Source organism: Homo sapiens, chromosome 18 (genome assembly GCF_000001405.40).
Source record: "Homo sapiens chromosome 18, GRCh38.p14 Primary Assembly".
In the NCBI taxonomy this organism is placed as follows: Eukaryota; Metazoa; Chordata; class Mammalia; order Primates; family Hominidae; genus Homo; species Homo sapiens.
In genome coordinates, this window is record NC_000018.10 from 23,060,485 (window position 1) to 23,081,136 (window position 20,652).

At 45.7% G+C, this 20,652-nt stretch overlaps 1 annotated feature.

The window, feature by feature from the left end:
• Window positions 6,924-6,993: an enhancer, noted in NCBI's record as "active region_13143". NCBI's record gives its function as "activates an Ori minimal core promoter by ATAC-STARR-seq in GM12878 lymphoblastoid cells {active_cell/tissue: GM12878}" and the evidence as "EXISTENCE:reporter gene assay evidence [ECO:0000049][PMID:35858748]".

The window sequence follows — 20,652 nt, forward strand, 5'->3', positions numbered from 1 at the left end:
GGAGGCATTTTCAAACTCAACAATATTCTTGGCTCTGCTAATATTTTACCTGGGAAATTGCTTTATTTCTTCCCCTCACGGGATAAATGATTATAATAACAAACATGCCAGGTGAGGTGGCTCACGCCTGTAATCCCAGCACTTTGGGAGGCCGAGGCTGGCAGATCACCTGAGGTCAGAAGTTCAAGACCAGCCTGACCAACATGGTAAAACCTCATCTCTACTAAAAGTACCAAAATTAGCCAAGCGTGATGGTGGGAGCCTGTAATCCCAGCTACTCGGGAGGCTGAGGCAGGAGCAGCGCTTGAACCCAGGAGGTGGAAGCTGCAGTGAGCCGAGATTGCGCGATTGCACTCCAGCCTGGGCGACAGAGCGAGACTCCGTCTCTAATAAATAAATAAATATAAAAATGTAATAATAAACATCTCTGGCAATAAAAACTCACCATCCTTTGAACCATCCTATTCTCTCATTTATAAAAGGAATTAGCATATTACAGTCTATGGACCATATCCACCTTGTTGTTTGTTTTTTGTTTTGTTTTATTTTATTTATTTTTTATTTATAATAATTATTATTTTTTTGAGACAGAGTTTCGCTCTCTCACCCAGGCTGGAGTGCAGTGGCGCGATCTCCACTCACTGCCAGCTCCACCTCTCAGGTTCACACCATTCTCCTGCCTCAGCCTCCCAAGTAGCTGGGACTACAGGCGCCCGCCACCACGCCCGGCTAATTTTTTTTGTATTTTTAGTAGAGACGGGGTTTCAGCCAGGATGGTCTCGATCTCCTGACCTCGTGATCCACCCGCCTCAGCCTCCCAAAGTGCTGGCATTACAGGCGTGAGCCACCACACCCAGCCTTATTTTTAATTTTTAGAGACGGAGTCTCACTCTTGTCGCCCAGGCCAGAGTGCAGTGGCGTTATCTCAGCTCACTGCAACTTCCACCTCCCAGGTTCAAGCAATTCACCTGCCTCAGCCTGCCAAGTAGCTGGCATTACAGGCACACACCACCATGACTGGCTAATTTTTTGTATTTTTAGTAGAGACGGAGTTTCACCATGCTAGCTAGGCTGGTCTCGAACTCTTGACCTCGTGATCCACCTGCCTTAGCCTCCCAAAGTGCTAGGATTATAGTCGTGAACCACCGTGCCTGGACTCTTGTTTTTTTAAAATAATTTATTGAAGTAAAATTCACATAACATAAAATTAACTTTTTTAAAGAACAATTCAGCATTTAGTACATTCACAATCTTGTGCAATCACATCTATCTAGTTCTAAAACATTTCCATCACTACAAAGCAAAATCCAGTACTCACTAAGCAGTTTCTCATCATTCCCTTTTTCCCTTAGTCCCTGACAATAACAAATCTATTTTTTATCTCTATAATCTATTATGGATATTTCGTGTAAATAAAATCATATAACATGTGGCCTTTTGCGTGTGGCTTCTTTCACTTAGCACAATGGTTTGAAAGTTTACCCACATTGTAGTATATGTCAATACTTCATTACCTCTTATGGATAAATAATTGTATTAGTTTGTTTTCACACTGCTGATAAAGACATACCCGAAACTGGGAACAAAAAAAAGGTTTAATTACAGTTCCTTGTGGCTGGGGAGGCCTCAGAAGCATGGCAGGAGGTAAAGGCTCTTCTTACATGGTGGTGGCAAGAGAAAATGAGGAAGAAGCAAAGGCAGAAACCCCTGATAAACCCATTAGATCTTGTGAGTCTTCTTCACCATCATGAGATAGCAGGGGAAAGACCAGCCCCCATGATTCAGTTACCTCCCCCTTGGTCCCTCCCACAACATGTGGAATTCTGGGAGATAAAATTAAAGTTGAGGTTTCCATGGGGACACAGCCAAACCATATCAATAATATTATACTGTATGTGTATACAGGTTAAGCATCTCTAATCCCAAAATCCCAAATCTGAAATGCTCCAAAATCCTGAACATTTTGAGCACCATCATGACAACAAAAGTGGAAAATTCCTCACCTGACCCCTGTGATGGGCTGCAGTCAAAATACAGTAAAACTTTTGTGTCACACACAATATTTTTAAAAATACTGTATAGGGCTGGGCACGGTGGCTCACACCTGTAATCCCAGCAATTTAGGAGGCCAAGGTAGACAGATCACCTGAGGTCAGGAGTTTGAGACCAGTCTGGCCAACATGGTGAAGCCCCGTCTCTATTAAAAATACAAAAGTTAGCCGGGTGTGATGGCACATGCCTGTAATCCCAGCTACTCAGGAGACTGAGGCAGGAGAATCACTTGAACCCAGGAGGTGGAGGTTGCAGTGAGCCAAGATCGCACCACTGCACTCCAACCTGGGTGAAAAGAGCGAAACTCCACCTCAAAAAAAAATTGTATAAAATTACTTTTTGGCTATAAGGTATATATGAAACATAAATGAATTTTGTGTTTAGACTTGGGTCCTATGCCCAAGATATCTCATACTCTATATGTATATCTAAAATCTGAAAAAAAAATTGGAAATCTGAAACATGTCTGGTCTCAAGCATTTTGGATAAGGGACACTGAAGCTGCACAACAATTTGCTGATCCATTCATCCACTGACGGGCATCTGCCCTAATTCCACTTTTTAGCTATTGTAAATAGCGCTACTACTACCTGCATGTACATGGACTTGCTTGAGTCTCCATTTTCAATTCTTTGTGATATATTCACAGGAGTAGAATTGATAGGTCATACTGTAACCAAGGACTCCCATTTTTCTACAGGTGGTTTAATTATTCTTTTTTCCTTCTCTCTCTCTCTTCTTTTCTCCTTTCCCCAGCTCCCTATGTCCTACTGAGCCCTTCAAAAATGCAAACATAACCTTTCACCTCTCCCCTCACCAGACATTCCACACAGGGCAAATTATTCTGTGTTCTCCAAGACAGATCTCCCCTCCAGAGCTGACAGTCGACTTTCAGACCAAAGTGAAACTGACCCAATAGTCCCATAAACAGTTTTTTTGGATAAACATAGAAATTGACCCTTCTGGTCTTAAAGCTTGAAACTTAGGTTTGTTTTATCTGAGTTCCTTCCTCAGAAAAGGACTGGCAGAACTCTCAAAATGTATCAAAGAGCTGAAACTCACCAGATCATCTTATCTAGACAATGGGGCTCCAGTCCCCTCATTAATCATAATTGCTTCCTTACCCCTCCAGAATTCCTGTTTTCTCGCACATTGTTACATTTCTTCCCTGCTGTATAAACCCCTAATTTTAGTGGGTCAGGGAGATGGATTTGAGACTGAGCTACCATCGGCCACAGCACCCGATTAAAGCCTTCTCTCTTAGCAATACTTGTTGTCTCAGTCATTGGCTTCCCGTGTAGGAGGCCAGCAGGACCGAGACCAAATCGTTGGTGTTTTGGAAACAAAAGTATACCATGGCTAGGTGCGGTGGCTTATGTCTGTAATCCCAGTACTTTGGGAGGCCAAGGCAGGCAGATCACGAGGTCATGAGTTGGAGACCATCCTGGCCAATATGGTGAAACCCTGTCTCTACTAAAAATATAAAAATTAGCCGGGTGTGGTGGTGGACACCTGTAATTCCAGCTACTCAGGAGGCCGAGACAGGAGAATCACTTGAACTTGGGAGGTAGAGGTTGCAGTGAGCTGAGATTGTGCCACTGTACTCCAGCCTGGGCAACAGAGTGAGACTTTGTCTCAGAAAGAAAGAAAACAAAAGCATACCTGCCATGAAACTTTCACTGTCAGGGGGTTGCCTTGGAACTTTAATCCACCAAGAGGGCATATGGAAAGCATGCCCACTTGGCCACTTTCACAACTTACTTCTACCCAGGAAGGCACCAGCTCAACTGCCCCCATAAATAAGATGCCAAGTTAGGGGAACCCCTGCCCTTGCTCGTGTCTTCCCTTGCCTTATCAAAAATACCTGCTTTCTGCTCTAAAAGCAAAGTGGCACATTTAACGGCAGGACACTCTGTGCCCCTTCTCCAAGCTAGCTTCGGAATAAATTCACTTTTTTTGTGTCAGATCTCACTCGTGTTAACGAGACTGCACATTCAGAGAGCCACTAACTAGCATTTCGTTTACAATTTGGTAATTCTATGTTTAAATTTTGAGGACATGCCGAACTGTTTTCTACAGAGGTTGCACCATTTTATATCCCCTCCAGCAACATAATGAGGGTTCCAATTTCTCCACATGCTTGCCAACACCTATTTTCCTGTTTTTAAAAAAATTGTTGGGCTGGGCGCAGTGGCTCATGCCTGTAATCCCAGCACTTTGGAATCCAGCTGAGGCGGGCGGATCACGAGGTCAGGAGATGGAGACCATCCTGGCTAATATGGTGAAACCCCGTCTCTACTAAAAATACAAAAAATTAGCCGGACATGGTGGCGGGTGCCTGTAGTCCCAGCTACTCGGCAGGCTGAGGCGGGAGAATAGCGTGAACCCGGGAGGCGGAGCTTGCAGTAAGCCGAGATTCAGCCACTGCACTCCAGCCTGGGTGACAGAGTGAGACTCCATCTCAAAAAAAAAAAAAAAAAAAAAAAAAAAAGGCCAGGCGCGGTGGCTCATGCCTGTAATCCCAGCACTTTGGGAGGCTGAGGCGGGTGGATCACGAGGTCAAGAGTTCGATACCAGCCTGACCAACATGGTGAAACCCCATCTCTACTAAAAATATATATATATAAATTAGCCTGTCATGGTGGCGTGCACCTGTAATCCCAGCTACTTAAGAGGCTGAGGTAAGAGAATCGCTTGAACCCGGGAGGTGGAGGTTGCAGTAAGCTGAGATCGTGACACTGCACTTCAGCTTGGGCAACAGAGTGAGACTCCATCTCAAAAAACAAACAAAAAAATTGTTGTAGCCATCCTAGTGTCATTGCCTATTTTTATGAAGTTTTATTGGAACATAGCCATGCTGATTTGTTTGCATGTCTATGGCTGCTTTTGCTACAATGGCCAAGAGGGTATTGCCCTTAAGCCAAAAATATTTACCATCTAGCCTTTTAAGACAAAGTTTGCTGACTTCTGTTTTAAATTTGCTTTTCTTTTTAATTTGTCATTTTATGTCACAGCTCCCCAACATAAGACCAAATAATATTGCTGCAAACTAGGGTGAGTCAGCTTATTTTTAGTCTTAAATTTCCTTATCTATAAAAAAGATAGGGTCATTGATTTTCAAGTTGTCTTTTGGCTGTTTTTTTGGTTTTGTTTTTTTGTTTGTTTGTTTGTTTGAGACGGAGTCTCACTCTTGCTCGGGCTAGAGTACAGTGGTGTGATCTTGGCTCACTGCAACCTCTGCCTCCCAGGTTCAAGTGATTGTCCTGCCTCAGCCTCCCAAGTAGCTGGGATTACAGGAGCATGCCACCACGCCCAGCTAATTTTTGTATGTTTAGTAGAGACAGGGTTTTGCCATGTTAGCCAGGCTGGTCTCAAACTTCTGACCTCAGATGATCTGCCCACCTCAGCCTCTCAAAGCGCTGGGATTACAGGTATGAGCCACCATGCCCGGCCTTCTTCTGGCTGTAATAGTCTACAATGGTATTTCCAAAAATGAGTATTTTGCAGTTTATACTTTTTTATGCAGTCTATAACTTGCCCAGCTTTCTTCTGGCTTAAATTAATGGTTTCTTTCACAACTCTTTTTGATTTATTCATCATATAATCAGGGAACGGTAGCCCATTCCTAGCTCGTGTTGTTCTTTCTCTGTACTGAGCTGCAGTGATTTAGTGGGATTTTCCTAAGAAGGTATGAACAAACTATCAAGTGGAAATTCCTGGCTCTTGTAGAGAGGAAAAAGGAATCCTGTTAAAGCCGAATGGCGTCATTGATGATTTCTTAAACAGACAGCTGCGTCCAACTTAAGACCAAGTCCTCCTCCTCGTTCCTCAACCTGGAAAGGCAGGGCCAGGAAGAAAACAGACAGGAAAGGAGCGAGAGAGATCAGATTATCTAATAGTACCTCACAAAAGGAATTCCTGAAACAGAAAGCTTTTACTAATAACTTGTTCACTCCATTAGAAGGTTGTGAGGACAAACAAGATAATTATAAAAGACTTTCATCTGATATCTCTGCCAAATGTTGGGTATGGATGGATCCCCAGGGATCAGTGTAGCCCAGCGTCTCATTTTCAAAATGAAGACACAGAAGTTGTGCCTTGCCCATATTCACAGAGAGAATTGGTTGCAGAACACAGATGGGGCCCAGGTGTCCCAACTCTAATCCAGGGGAAAGAAGTCCCAGGGCAGCATCTGCTCTGGAGAGCCAAGGCAAGGGTTCTGACCAGCTTGACTAGGAACTCCTCAGGGTGAAATGCATAAGCCAGCAAGGAAGCATGGGGGAATGTTCTGCTGTTTTGCCCATCTGATACCAGAGTAAATATTGATTGCTATGGTCAGGAAAGACCGGCCTGGTCCTTATGTAACTGTTGTTAAAAGAAAAACTTCAGGACCAGGCATGGTAGCTCACGCCTATAATGCCAGCACTTTGGGAGGCCGAGGCAGGCAGATCACCTGAGGTTTGAGACCAGCTTGGTCAATATGGTGAAAACTCATCTCGACTAAAAATACAAAAATTAGCCAGGCATGGTGGTGGGCACCTGTAATCCCAGCTACTCTGGAAGCTGAGGCAGGAGAATCGCTTGAACCGTGGGAGGCAGAGGCTGCAGTGAGACGAGATTGTGCTACTGCACTCCAGCCTGGGTGACAGAGCAAGACTCCGTCTTTAAAAAAGAAAAAGAAAAACTTCAGACAAATGCAATATAACAGAGTTTATTTGAGCAATGAACAATTGGTGAATTGGGTAATCTCCCAGATCAGAATAGGTTCAGAGAGACTCTGATGTTGCTGCGTGGTTGGACAGGATTTAAGAACAAGAAAAGGAAAGTGATGTACAGGAAACGGAGGTGAGGTGTAGAAAGAGCCAGATTGGTTACAGCTTGGAGTTTGCCTTATTTGAACGGTTGGCTGCCTGTGATTGGCTGAAACTCGGTGGTTGGTATAAGAGTACATTACAGTCTGTTTACTCATCCAATTAGGTTACAGTTCACTATGCATGAAGAAACTTTTAGGCTAGACTTACAAGGAAACAGCTTCAAACTAAATTTAACACTGTTAAAAAAAAACCTGCCCATTTCTTCTTTTCTGTTTTCTTTTTCTTTTTTCTTTTTCTTTTTTTTTTTTTTGAGACTGGATCTCACTCTGTCACCTAGGCTGGAGTATAGCGGTGCGATCTTGGCTCACTGCAAACTCTGCCTTCCTGGCTCAAGGTATCCTCCCACCTCAGCCTCCTGAGTAGCTGGAACTACAGTTGCATACTACCGTTCCTGGCTAATTTTGTATTTTTTGTAGAGACAGGGTTTTGCCATGTTGCCCAGGCTGGTCTCAAACTCCTGAGCTCAAGCGATCTGCCTCCCTCACCTCTGAACGTGCTGGGACTACAGGCATGCACCACCACACCTGGCTAAAAATTTTTCTGGTTTTTTTTTTTTTTTTTTTTGGTCAAGATGGAGTCTCACCACGTTGCCCAGGCTGGTCTGGCACTCCTGGACTCAAGCAATCCACCTACCTCAGCCTCCCAAAGTGCTGGGATTGTGGGCATGAGCCACTGCACCCAGCCCTCCACACACTTTTAAACAGGCTATTTCCTCTGCTGGAAACCTCAGGTCCTATTCTTTGGCCAACTTCTATAAATCTCTCCAGTCCCAAGTCAGGTACCACTTCCCCAGGAAGCCTTCCCTTGAAACCGCCTTTGCAAAAATTGTAACAGTGAGAAAATCATGACAGTGAAAGAGATCGGATCTAACCAACCCCATCTTGCCTTTAACCTCCAAATTGCCCTAAATCATTCCTGAGCTCACGCCAAACTAACTGTGGGAGACATTTAGTTTATAGCTTAAATGATAACAGCCCTTTCCCCATACCGAACCACCTTCGTAAAGCTAATGAAAGGCCGCCAGGTTAGTAGGAGGAGAGGACCCTGAATCCTGCTAAGGTGTAGACATAAACGACTGCCAGCCACTATTCTGCAGGTCACAAGATTTGCAACTTCCCCAATTACTCCTGCAGGTAACATCACTATTTTAAAACTTAAAATTGGCCTTTTGAAATGTCTTTTCAGGACCAGTGGCTCCACCCAGACCCACCAAGGGGTCCTGTGGCCCCACCTAGAATAAGATTCCCTGGCCTGTCAAACTATCCTTGAAAAACCTTGGCCTCCAAATCTTCAGGGAGATTGATTTGAATAATAACTTCATCTCCCACGTGGTGTGGCCGGCCTCATGTCAATTAAACTCTGTCTTTATTGCAACGCCATGGTCTCCGTGAATTGGTTTTGTCTGCAGTGGGCAGGAAGAACCCATGGGGTGGTTGCGCCCTGACCCATGCCCTGCCTTCCTTTAACCATAGCGTTTATCATATCTAACATGCTTTTCCATGTGCTTGTCTTCCTTCACAACATAAATCAAAAAGTGACAGGCAAATCTCAATTGATTTTGAAGTTTATTTTGCCAAGGTTGAGGATACGCCCAGGAAAAAGAAATACAAGTCACAGGAGAATCTGTGTCCCATGCTTTTTCCAGAGGGTTTTGAGGACTTCAGTATCTAAAGGGGAAAGAGGAAGCAGGAGGGAAAGGAGGGGGTGGGGGGGAAGAGGGTAAAAAAGGAGAAGGGGGGGAAAAAGAGGTTGGGCAATGAGGCAAGTGGTCACATTCTTGTGAGGCTCTGCCTAGCTCTCAGTGAATCTACACTTTACATGTGAAGAGAGTTGGGGGTAAATGGCAATTATGCATTCCTCTCTTGCTCAGTAGCTCTACATTTTACATAAGGTAAAGGAAACGTGAAATTATAGCGAGTGGCCCGGCACGGTGGCTCACGCCTGTAATCCCAGCACCTTGGGAGGCCAAGGCGGGCAGATCACCTGAGGTCAGGAGTTCGAGACCAGCCTGTCCTACATGTTGAAACCCTGTCTCTACTAAAAATACAAAAGTTAGCCGGGTGTGGTGGCAGGCACCTGTAGTCCCAGCTACTCGACAGGCTAAGACAGGAGAATTGCTTGAACCCGGGAGGCAGAGGTTGCAGTGAGCTAGGATTGTGCCACTGTACTCCAGCCTGGGTGATGGAGCAAGACTCTGTCTCAGAAAAAAAAAAAAAAAAAAAAGCCAAGCTGTGCTCTGACCACCTTAAGCACGTGTCTTCAGAACTTCCTGAGGCTGCGTCATGGGCCCGCGTCTTCAACCTTGGATCCTCAACCCTGCAAAATAAACTTTCTAAATTAACTGAGACCTGTCTCAGATGTTCGGGGTTCACACGATGATAGCTTACTTTAGTTCTCACTCTATCTGACCTCTCCAGGGTAGTCGGCTCTCTGGGTCTCACCCTGCTTCCGGTAACTTGCCAGTCCACAGGGACACTTCATTCTCTGGTTTTTCTTTCCTCTTCTTAGACTGTCTTTTCTCTAACCCTTTCATTGACTCCTCCTCTACCTGCTCCTTAAATGACTGTATTTGCCAAGGTACAGTATTTTCTCCACTGTAAGCTCATCAGTTCCTATTTCTTGAACTATCATAAGCCAGTGGGTCGACTTCTCTCCCAGCCCCCAGCCCTGTGTTTTCTGTGGCCCACTGACTGGATGTTTTTGTATTGCTGTCACCTAGCACCTCAAACTTAACCTATCAAAGCCTCATTTTGTTATGCCCCTGGCCAAAGTTGTCCTCCTGAGTAGGGAGGAACTTGGCCTCTGTCCCCACTAAGGAGACAGAGTAGGGACAGGACTCAGCCCCCACCTCTAACACACTTTTTTCTATACCCTCCTATTACCAGATCTTATATCACCTCCTATCATTGGTGCCATCCCCACTGACTGCAAAACCTTGAAGGAACGAAGATAAACAGCATCCCACAGTCAATCTTACTCACGGGAGTTAACCCTATCGACCGCATGTGCACAAGACCAGACGAATGACCAACCTTTACCCCTTGCCTCATCATAATACTAAAATCCCCACCCGGGAAGGGACTTTGCTGCCATTTTGTGATCCTGCGGTGCGGGTACTAACCTGCTTGCTCACTGCACCTGTGCGCCCTGCGCTCCACTCTGCACATGTCACGACACTCACATAGCTCATGTAGATGCCTGTCAACCTTCCTAGAAACACCAGACATACCCTGGGGAGCCAGCCAGAGAACTCTCCCTCCAGTGCTGTATCCCTTGTGTTCAAATATAAACCTGGAATAAAGTCTTGTCTGGGGAACTTGCTTGGCCTTGTGTCAACTTCTGTTGCATGGGGGCCCAAGAACCTGCGGTCGGTGACACTCCTCCTGTGTTCTTGCCTCCGTTAAATGGTTCCCACAGCTCAGTCTCCCAAGGAGAATCATGCGTATGACCCTTGATGCCTCCCCTCCCTGAGTTTTCACATCCCACCAGTCACGAAATCCTGGTGATGCCACCTCAACCATTGCACTTCAGTTGTCCCTTCCACCACCTACCATAGAGGAGACCCTGGAGTCCACAGATGAATTAGGAAGACAGCCTCCTGACTGCTTTTCCTCCACAAATCTATCCCCACACCACAGCATTCTCAAAACATATGTACTGCCAAAGTGAGCTTCCTTTTTTTTTTTTTTTTTTTTGAGACAGAGTCTTGCTCTTTTGCCCAGGCTGGAGTGCAGTGGCACAATGTTGGCTCACTGCAACCTCTACCTCCCAGGTTCAAGCAGTTCTCCTGCCTCAGCCCCCAACAGCTGGGATTACAGGTGCCCCCCACCGCACCCGGCTAATTTTTGTATTTTTAGTAGAGACAGGGTTTCATCATGTTGGTCAGGCTGGTCTGGAACTCCTGACCTCAGGTGATCCACCGGCCTCGCCCACCCAAAATGCTGGGATTACAGGCATAAGCCACCTCTCCTGGCCCAGAGTGAGCTTCTTACATATCAATTCCACCTCCATCCAGTCTCTCTGGCTCCCTGCCTCTGGGCACATTGCAGGCTCTGAAGCTGCACACAAGACCCCTCCCAGTCAGCCCACATCCTCCCCAGGCACCGTTTGCTACACACACACGTGGTTTCTCACCACTTCCTGGATGTCTTGTAGTCTTTCATGACTCTGGGCCTTTACATATGTGGTTGTCTTTATTTTGCCCTTCCTCTCACCCCTTGAACTCTTCTCTAGGTGGGAAATCACATTGTCTAGTGGGATTTCGCCAGTCCTCTGGCAGACAGAGTCATTACCTCCCCTACCACCATTCCTGGCTTTCTGCATGCACCTGCAAAAATGAGCCTTAACCATTTTTAGACATTTCTCCCCAGTTATGTGTGAATTCCCCAAGAGCAGGGGCCATGCTTTATTTACCTGTGTATTCTTAATAATTGATACAGTGACTAGCAAAAGAAGTGCCTTGAACGTGAATGTCCAAGTCACCTGGGTTTTTTGGCCTAAAGCAGGCATCACTGCTGTAGAGGTTAAAGGAGCAAAAGAGACGGGACAGGAGCACAGAGGGAGGGGCAATGGTGTGTCTTCTTGGCTAGGAAGGAAAAGCAAACATATTGAATACCTACTTTATATACCAGCTGAGGATCAGCTATCTGTCCACTACTTTACATATGAAACATAACCTCATATGAAACCCATCCTGGCCTGACACTGATCATATTCGCGGAAGGGAGAGGGGGTGGTTGGATGGTGGTAGCAGCTGGAAGAGAGGAGACGACAGCGGCTGGGATGAAGGCAGCGTGTGGTGAAATTACCAGCACCCTGGTCGTGCTCTGCTGAAGCAACCGTCACCAAGCCAAAGCCCCGTCTCAGTCTGGGCAGGACACACGAATATGCCCTTCCTGGCCAAAATCTCCTGGAAAGTATGTCATAAGGGAAGCAGCATGGGCTTCAGAGCCATGGAGACTGGGGTTCAAATCCCCCCTCAGCCATTGCTAGCTATGTGACCTCAAGCAAGTTACTTAGCCTTTCTGATCTTCAGACTCCTCTCTTGAAAAGGAAAGAAAAATACTTATTTCACAGGATTCATTCCCGGAGAAGATATTTTTTCAGTCCTCATTTGTGCCACCTTCATCTAGTCAATGGGAATATAGTAGCTTCAAATATAATAGGTACTTTGGGGAGGCCAAGGCAGGCGGATCTCTTGAGGCCAGGAGTTTGAGACCAACTTGGGCAACATGGCAAGACTCTGTCTCTATGGAAATTTTTAAAAATTAAAAATTAGACAGGCATAATGGCACATGCCTGTAGTCCTAGCTACTCAGGAGGCCAAGGCAGGAGGATCATTTGAGTTCAGGAGTTCAATCCTGCAGTGAGCTATGATCAGACCACTGCACTCCATCCTGGGAAACAGGGCGAGATCCTGACTCAAAATATACTATACACAGACACAACACACGCACACACACACACACACATACACACACGTAAAGTAGGTACCTAATAAATATTAGTTTCCTTCCTTTCTGCTATTTATACTCTGGGCAAAACACAGAATCCTTAGAGAAGTCCTCTACACTTTTTTTTTCCTCCAATGTACATTATTTTATCCTCCAAGTAAGATTATCTAATAATAATACTAAGACCTAGCCAGATGCAGTGGTTCACGCCTGTAATTCCAGCACTTTCGGGGGCTGAGGTGGGAGGATGGCTTGAGCTCAGGTGTTTGAGACCAGCCTGGGCAACATGCTGAAACCTTGCCTCTACAAAAATAGAAAACTGAGCCGGGTGAGGTGGTGCACACCTGTAGACCCAGCTACTGAGGGAGACGGGTTGGGGGCTGAGGTGGGAGGATCACTTGAACCCAGGAAGCGGAGGTTGCAGTGAGCTGAGATCGTACCACTGCACTCCAGCCTGGGCAACAGAGCAAAATTCTGTCTCAGAAAAAAAAAAAAACCCTAAGACCTAACATTTCCCAGGTACTTACCATGTGCTAGGAACTATTCAGTACGTATATATTTGTATATTTAATAATTTAATGCTCACAACTCAGTGAGGCTGGGTTTCCCAAATAAGGAAATGAAGGTGCAGAGAAGTGAAGAAATATGTCAAGGTCACACAGCCAGTAGATGAGGGAGCTAGGATTTGAACCTGGGCACCCTGGCTTGAGTCCACACTCTGAACCAATAGAAACCAGTACATCAGAGATCACATAGTTCAGCCCCTGTGGATGATACATTTGCTGAGCTACCTCTCTTTCCCAACCTTTCTTTTTGTTTTCTTATCTCCTCTCATCTCTTCTTTTCTTCTCAGTTGAGGAAACTGAAAGCCACGTTGGACAATGTTAGGTGACATGCTCAGAATGACATAGCTACTTCTGGCATTTATTCTGACTCCTATCCCAGGCCTTTTCCATGGCAGCATGGACCAATATGAAGGCAAATGGCTAAAATTAATTTTTTTAAGTAAATATTTTATATTATCTTATCCTCCTAGTTGTAATAATCATTTGAAGGTATCAGATCTGATAACAAAATATTTACATTAGATACCATAGTGTTTCTTTTTGTTTAATTAATACCAATTTGAAATGTGTTCTTTGTTTTTGCTAGTGTTGTTTGAATTTCTGCCCCCATAAATATTTGTGCCGTTGTCTTAGTTTCAATTAGCATTTGGTGTTTTCCTTGGACTGGTTTTTGTGATGGGATGGGGGTGGAGTATTCACAGCCTGATATGCCTTCTGTGAAACTCTGCATCCCGAAACCACATAGCGCAGTGCAGGAGACGACATCGATGTACAGTCAAAACAAGACTGGGAGTGCCCTGTGAGCCAGGCAGTGCTGCGTCTCAGCTGCAGAGTGACCCTGAAGCTCAGGACACCCGGAGGCAGTCATCACACGGAGGAACACTGAAAAAACAAGCCCTCCCCTGAACCTTCCAGAACTTTGCTCTGAACTGACACAAGGTGACCACCATCCAGAACCTAATTCCAGGGAAGAACACTTTTATGAGAGTCAACAGGTGTCATTGAGAAATCTGGATATAAGTTCATAGAGGGTGGTGGAGGAGAGAAATAAGACATTGTAAACCAAAGGCCCTTGCAGATAGAAGGATTTCCAAGTGCTCCTATATGTCAATGAACTCCTTTGAGTTTTTATTTCCCCATCTGTAAAATGGGACTACTAATACTCATCCTGATGATCACCAGGGACCAAATGAGGAAGTTATGTAAATGAGATCAGTTTAAAAACTATAAAGTGCTCTGGGAATACGACTGCTATTCTGTAATACATGTATGTATGTACTGTATGTATGAAGTGGAGTTTCAGCAGCATGACATGGACAACAGTGATTTCCACTAAAACACATGAGAAAGAATATACAATTCATGATAAATTTCAAGTGACTGTTGCATTTATTTTTATTATTTTTGGTTTTTAAAGACAGGGTCTCTCTGTTGCCCAGGCTGGAGTGTGGTGGCTATTCACAGGTGGGTCATGGTTGTAGCACACTACAGCATCAAACTTCTAGGCTCAAGTGATGCCCCACCTCAGCCTCCATAGCTGGGACTACAGGCAAACTCTATCACACCGAGCTAGTTATTGCATTTTTTTTTTTTTTTTGAGACAGAGTCTCACTCTGTTGCCAGGCTGGAGTGCAGTGGCGCAATCTCAGCTCACTGCAACCTCTGCCTCCTGGGTTCAAGCGATTCTCGTGCCTCAGCCTCCCAAGTAGCTGGGATTACAGGCGTGCGCCACCACATCCAGCTAGTTTTTGTATTTTTAGTACAGATGGGGTTTCACCATGTTGCCCAGGCTGGTCTCAATCTCCTGATCTCGTGATCTGCCCGCCTTTGCCTCCCAAAGTGCTGGGATTATAGGCATGAGCTACCGCTCCTGGCCGCTACTGCATTTTTAAACCTGGGTCAAGCAAGACAGCTTTGCAAACATAACAAAATAACAACAATACAGTCCCGTAGTGTTAGATAGGGATTTTGCACGGGCACTGAGCCTTCCAGACAAACTCAAGGCTGGTGAGGCAGGTGATACCTACAGCCTGGAGGAGCCAACTCCTCTACGCATGCTACACACACAGGGGTGCCGTTTCTGGGCTGCAGCTCCAGGCTGGGGAGAGTTCCTCGCATGGATAAATGTTAGAGACAGTGTCTTACAAAAATGAAAAACGAAGTCAAGTTTTCTTCGCAGCTTCTATACATGTACCCAATGAAAATCAGAAAACCACAATTCTAATTCTTAGGCCGGGCGCGCTGGCTCATGCCTGTAATCTCAGCACTTTGGGAGGCCAAGGCAGGTGGATCACCTGAGGTCAGGAGTTCGAGACCAGCCTGACCAACATGGAGAAACCCCTGTCTCTACTAAAAATACAAAATGGGCCAGGCGCAGTGGCTCACGCCTGTAATCCCAGCACTTTGGGAGGCCAAGACAGGTGGATCACGAGGTCAGGAGATTGAGACCATCCTGGCTAACATGGTGAAACCCCATCTCTACAAAAACTACAAAAATTAGATGGGCGTGGTGGTGGGTGCCTGTAGTCCCAGCTACTCGGGAGGCTGAGGCAGGAGAATGGCGTGAACCCAGGAGGCAGAGCTTGCAGTGAGCCAAGATCACACCACTGCACTCCAGGCTGGGTGACAGGGTGAGACTCCGTCTCAAAAAAAAAAAAAAGAAAAACACAGTTCTAATTCTTATTGATACTCTTTTGTCTCAGAATGATAGAACGGAGAAAAAGTAGAGGTTTTTTTTTTTGAGACACAGTCTCACTCTGCAGCCCAGCCTGAAGTGCAGTGGCAGGATCACTGCAGACTCAACCTCCTGAGCTCAAGCAATGCTCCTACCTCAGTCCCCCAAGTAACTGGGACTATAGACACACACCACCACACCTGGCTACTTTTTTTCATTTTTTGTAGAGACAGGGTTTCACTTTGCTGCCCAGACTGTGTCTCAAGCTCCCGGTTTCAAGCAATCGTCCCACCTCAGTCTCCCAAATTGCTGAGATTACAGGTGTGAGCCACGGTGCCTGGCCAAAAGTAGGATTTTATAGTGATATTCCACAATCCTTCATCAAGTCTCATCCAAATCAATCTGTTTCTTCAAGATTTCACAAAATCATCAAATGCTGGGGCTGCAAAGGATTTTAAGTGTTATGTTCTAGTCGTTCACCAGAGATTCAGTTTCATCCCTACAGCGTCAAGGCTAAAAACTCTTGTGTTGGGATTTGACCACCTGAAATCATATCCTGGCTCTACCATTTCCTGGATGTAGGACTCTGAGAAATTTAAACTATCTCCAAGTCCCAGTTTCCTCATCTATAAAATGGAAACAATAATAATATCTACCTCAGGCTTGCTGTAATGAAGAAATGAAATAACGTACCCTAACGTCATGTCCAGCACCCAGCAACTGGCCAGTTAGTGTTCACTATTACTGTCAATTTTAGAAACGTTAGATACAAAGCACAAAATACTCTGCAGCACCATTAAGCCAAGGCGTCCCATTGGAGACTCTGGCAGTCTGTGCCTGCCAATAGCTAACTCCATTTTTTTTTTTTTTTTTTTTGAGACGGAGTCTCGCTCTGTCACCCAGGCTGGAGTGCAGAGGCGCGATCTCGGCTCACTGCAAGCCCCGCCTCCTGGGTTCACACCATTCTCCTGCCTCAGCCTCCCGAGTAGCTGGGACCACAGGCCCCCGCCACCACGTCTGGCTAATTTTTTGTATTTTTCGTAGAGACGAGGTTTCACCATGTTAGCCAGGATGGTCTCGATCTCCTGACCTCATGATCTGCCCACCTCAGCCTCCCAAAGTGCTGGGATTACAGGCTTGAGCCACCGTGCCCGGCCGCCACTAGCTAACTCTTGATCTGTAAAGCTAATTAACTGAGTATTTATCAGAGTGGGGAAAGAAAAAGGAATTTGAAGGGAGTGACAATAAAATTAATTTAAATATCGTAAATCCAATTCAGTAAATCCTTTCACTCAAGAGAAGTGAAGGCAGTGTTTCCAGGACACAGACAGGTATGCTTTGTGCACATGTGCTTCCCACTCCAGAAAGCAAGCCTGGCGTCCATGATCTTATGGTGTGTGGAGGGGATATCAACAAACTGGCTGCTCAGGAGCAGGGACCATTCCCAGCCTGGCATGTGTGTAAGTGAGAAAAGCAGGGGGCACCAGAGTCACAGGTTAAAAAAGTGGTTCAGCTTCCTGGAGCACTACTCTTCTGAAACAGAACGTAAATATTTGCATGCATTTTTTCAGACAAAATACACTACTTCAAAGAACTTTCTGGCATGCCATATTCCATCTCTAGCTGGGCCTCCAGTTCCGCAGGGACTGTATACTCTGTTCTGCCAAGGAGGGCTCTGGGGGAAGAGCTGGTGGTGCCCTGGAGTAGGAGAAAGATCACTGGACCAGGAGGCAGCGCGGGGAATGGCTGAGGTCTAGGTTCCATCCCCTCTGCTCCTCTAACCCCTTCTACTGTCACTAAAGGCACTATCTCAGCTCCTGCACTTAGCATGGCTTCCCTAAGTTACCCCAGCAGCCACCCAAGAAGGTGGCTAAGAAAGAAGCACTTCCTTCTTTCACGTAGAGTGATCTTTTGAAACCAAATTGACTCAGGCTAGAAACCTTCCATGAGTCCCTCTGGCTTCTGGAGTAAAGTCCCTGGCACAAGGCCCCTCACAGCCCAACTCCCAATGAAGGCTTTGCTATTCCACCACTCCCCATGCACCCCACATCCCTCAGCTCCCTCCCTGTTCTCCTCGCTTTTCCTGGTGCAGCTCCATCTGCCTTGTTCCCCAGTCCACTCCACCCAGGGAACCTTGGCTCACCCCTTGAGACCTCATTCATAGCCCTCCCGAGTAGGATGTGTTCCATCTCAACAAAGCAAGGTCCCCACGTTAACTGGCAGCCCTGGTTATCAGTGCGTGCTGACTGCAATTGTGTTTATTCCCTTTTCTTTTTCTTTTCCTTTTTTTTTTTTTGAGATGGAGTTTTACTCTTGTTGCCCAGGCTGGAGTGCAATGGCGTGATCTCGGCTCACCGCAATCTCCGCCTCCCGGGTTCAAGCGATTCTCCTGCCTCAGCCTCCCAAATAGTTGGGATTGCAGGCATGCACCACCATGCACGGCTAGTTTTGTATTTTTAGTAGAGATGGGGTTTCTCCATGTTGGTCAGGCTGGTCTCGAACTCCTGACCTCAGGTGATCCACCTGCCTTGGCCTCCCAAAGTGTTGGGATTACAGGCGTGAGCCACCACGCCTGGCCGTTATTCCCTTTTCTAGTTGGCAGAGAAAACCTCAAGAAGCTCTTTTGAAACTAAATCTCAGCAGATTTTTATTTCCAAACAGAATTAAAACAGGAAGTGAGAGTCAAAGTGTGCTCCACTGTGACAAAAGTCACATTAGGAAATCAAAGTGTCCTCATCTCTTAGGAAGCTCAGGTCTCCTTAGGGGCACAGTGAAATTCCCAGGCTTCCATCTGAGAGTCTATGGAAACTCACTTCAAGAGGTTCTCACTGGTGTTTGATTTTACTCCGAGGCAGGGCAAAATGTTTCATGGTTTTGAACGTGAAGAAAGTTCCTGCAGAGGCAAAGTCAGACAGGGTCAACTGCAGGGGCTGCAGAGAGCCAGGCTGGGGGCCAGCTAGAGTTAGAAGAGACTTCAGTGTTTCCTTCAATTAAAAAAAAAAAAAAAAGCCCTTTTGTAGAGGAAGTCCTGTGTCTCCAAGCAAGTTCTAACTTCACTAAAAAAAGCTTAGCTAAGCTCCGCCAACTGATTCGGTCTTTTTCCACAGAGAGGGAGAAGAGGGATGGCTGTTTTCTCTCAACTCCAGAGGAGAGTGAGTGAGGAATGAATTGTTTGTCTTCCACATAGCAAACCAAACTGGAGTCATTTTTACCCGAATGTATCAGTGGAAACCAAACTGGCGTCACTACAAAATTCCCAAGTCTCTTGCTGCTTCTGGGTTTATTCCTTGTTGTCAATGTTGTTTATTTTGTTCTTCCCACAAGTTGCAATGAATAATGTTGAATAAATGAATGAATAATGAATAATAAGAATGAATAATAAGTGAATGAATGAACACAAAACAGAAACTAACAAACTATCCAGGAAGCACAGAGATGTGTCATAGCCAGCAGAGAAAGGCTAAAAGACCTCAAGTTGTTTTCTGCCATTCTTACAAAGATGCTAATTATTATTATTATTATTTTTGAGATGGAGTCTTGACCCGTCACTCAGGCTAGAGTGCAGTGGGGCGATCTCGGCTCACTGCAAGCTCTGCCTCCCGGGTTCACGCCATTCTCCTACCTCGGCCTCCTGAGTAGCTGGGACTACAGGCACCCGCCACCACTCCTGGCTAATTTTTTGTATTTTTAGTAGAGACGGGGTTTCACCGTGTTAGCCAGGATGGTCTCGATCTCCTGACCTCGTGATCCACCTACCTCGGCCTCCCAGAGTGCTAGGATTACAGGCGTGAGCCACCACAACCGGCCGATGCTAATATTTTATCCGAACTCTACTTACAGCTCAAATTTTCGTTTTGTCATTCATCATTTATCTATTCATCTGGTACTTACTGAGTTGTTATATGTGAGGCATTGCATTAAAAGTCACCCAGGCTGGGTGCAGTGGCTCACGCCTGTAATCCCAGTATTTTGTGAGGCCAAGGCAGGAGGATCACGAGATCAGGAGATCGAGACCATCCTGGCTAACACAGTGAAACTCCATCTCTACTGAAAATACAAAAAATTAGCTGGGCGTGGTGGCGGGTGCCTGTAGTCCCAGCTACTCGGGAGGCTGAAGCAGGAGAATGGCGTGAACCCGGGAAGTGGAGCTTGCAGTGAGCCGAGATGGTGCCACTGCACTCCAGCCTGGGTGACAGAGTAATACTCCATCTCAAAAATAAAAAGAAAAAAGTAATCAGATATATAAAAAAACTTGGAATAAACAAAAAAAAATTACTGGTGTCTCCAGTGGAAAACAATGTGTTGCTTAGAGCACACTGTTCTAGATTATTTAATTTCAGCTATTTATTGTCTTTGAGCTATTTTATAACTTTTTTTTTGAGACAGGATCTCGCTCTATCACTCAGGCTACAGCGCTGTGGTGCAAACACAGCTCACAGCAGCCTCCACCTTCCAGGCTCTGGTAGATCGTCTCGCCTCTGCCTCCTGAGTAGCTGGGACTACAGGCGTGTGCCACAATGCCTGGCTAATTTTTACATTTTTCATAGAGATGGGGTCTTGCTGTGTTGCCCAGGCTTGTCTCAAACTCCTGGGCTCAAGCAGTCCCCCACCTTGAGCCCACCAAAGTACTGGGATTACAGGCATAAGCCACCTTGTCCAGCCTATTTTAACTTTTAAGTTGTCAAATACTGATAGCAATGCAAAATAATTCTTGTCTCTAGACGTAAATTCTGTTTGGTGGTGGTTGAATTGACTCCCTCTGCTCATACCCATTAATCTCCCCCACCTCAACCTGCCTTTGGAAAGAGCGAAGTTCACATCTATTTATAAATTTATTTCAACATTTATTTTATTTTATTTTGTTTTTGAGATGGAGTCTCACTCTGTCACCCAGACTGGAGTATAGTGGTGCAATCTCGGCTCACTGCAACCTCTACCTCCTGGGTTCAAGCAATTCTCCTGCCTCAGCCTCCCAAATAGCTGGGATTACAGGCACCCACTACCGTGCCTGGCTAATTTTTATATTTTTAGTA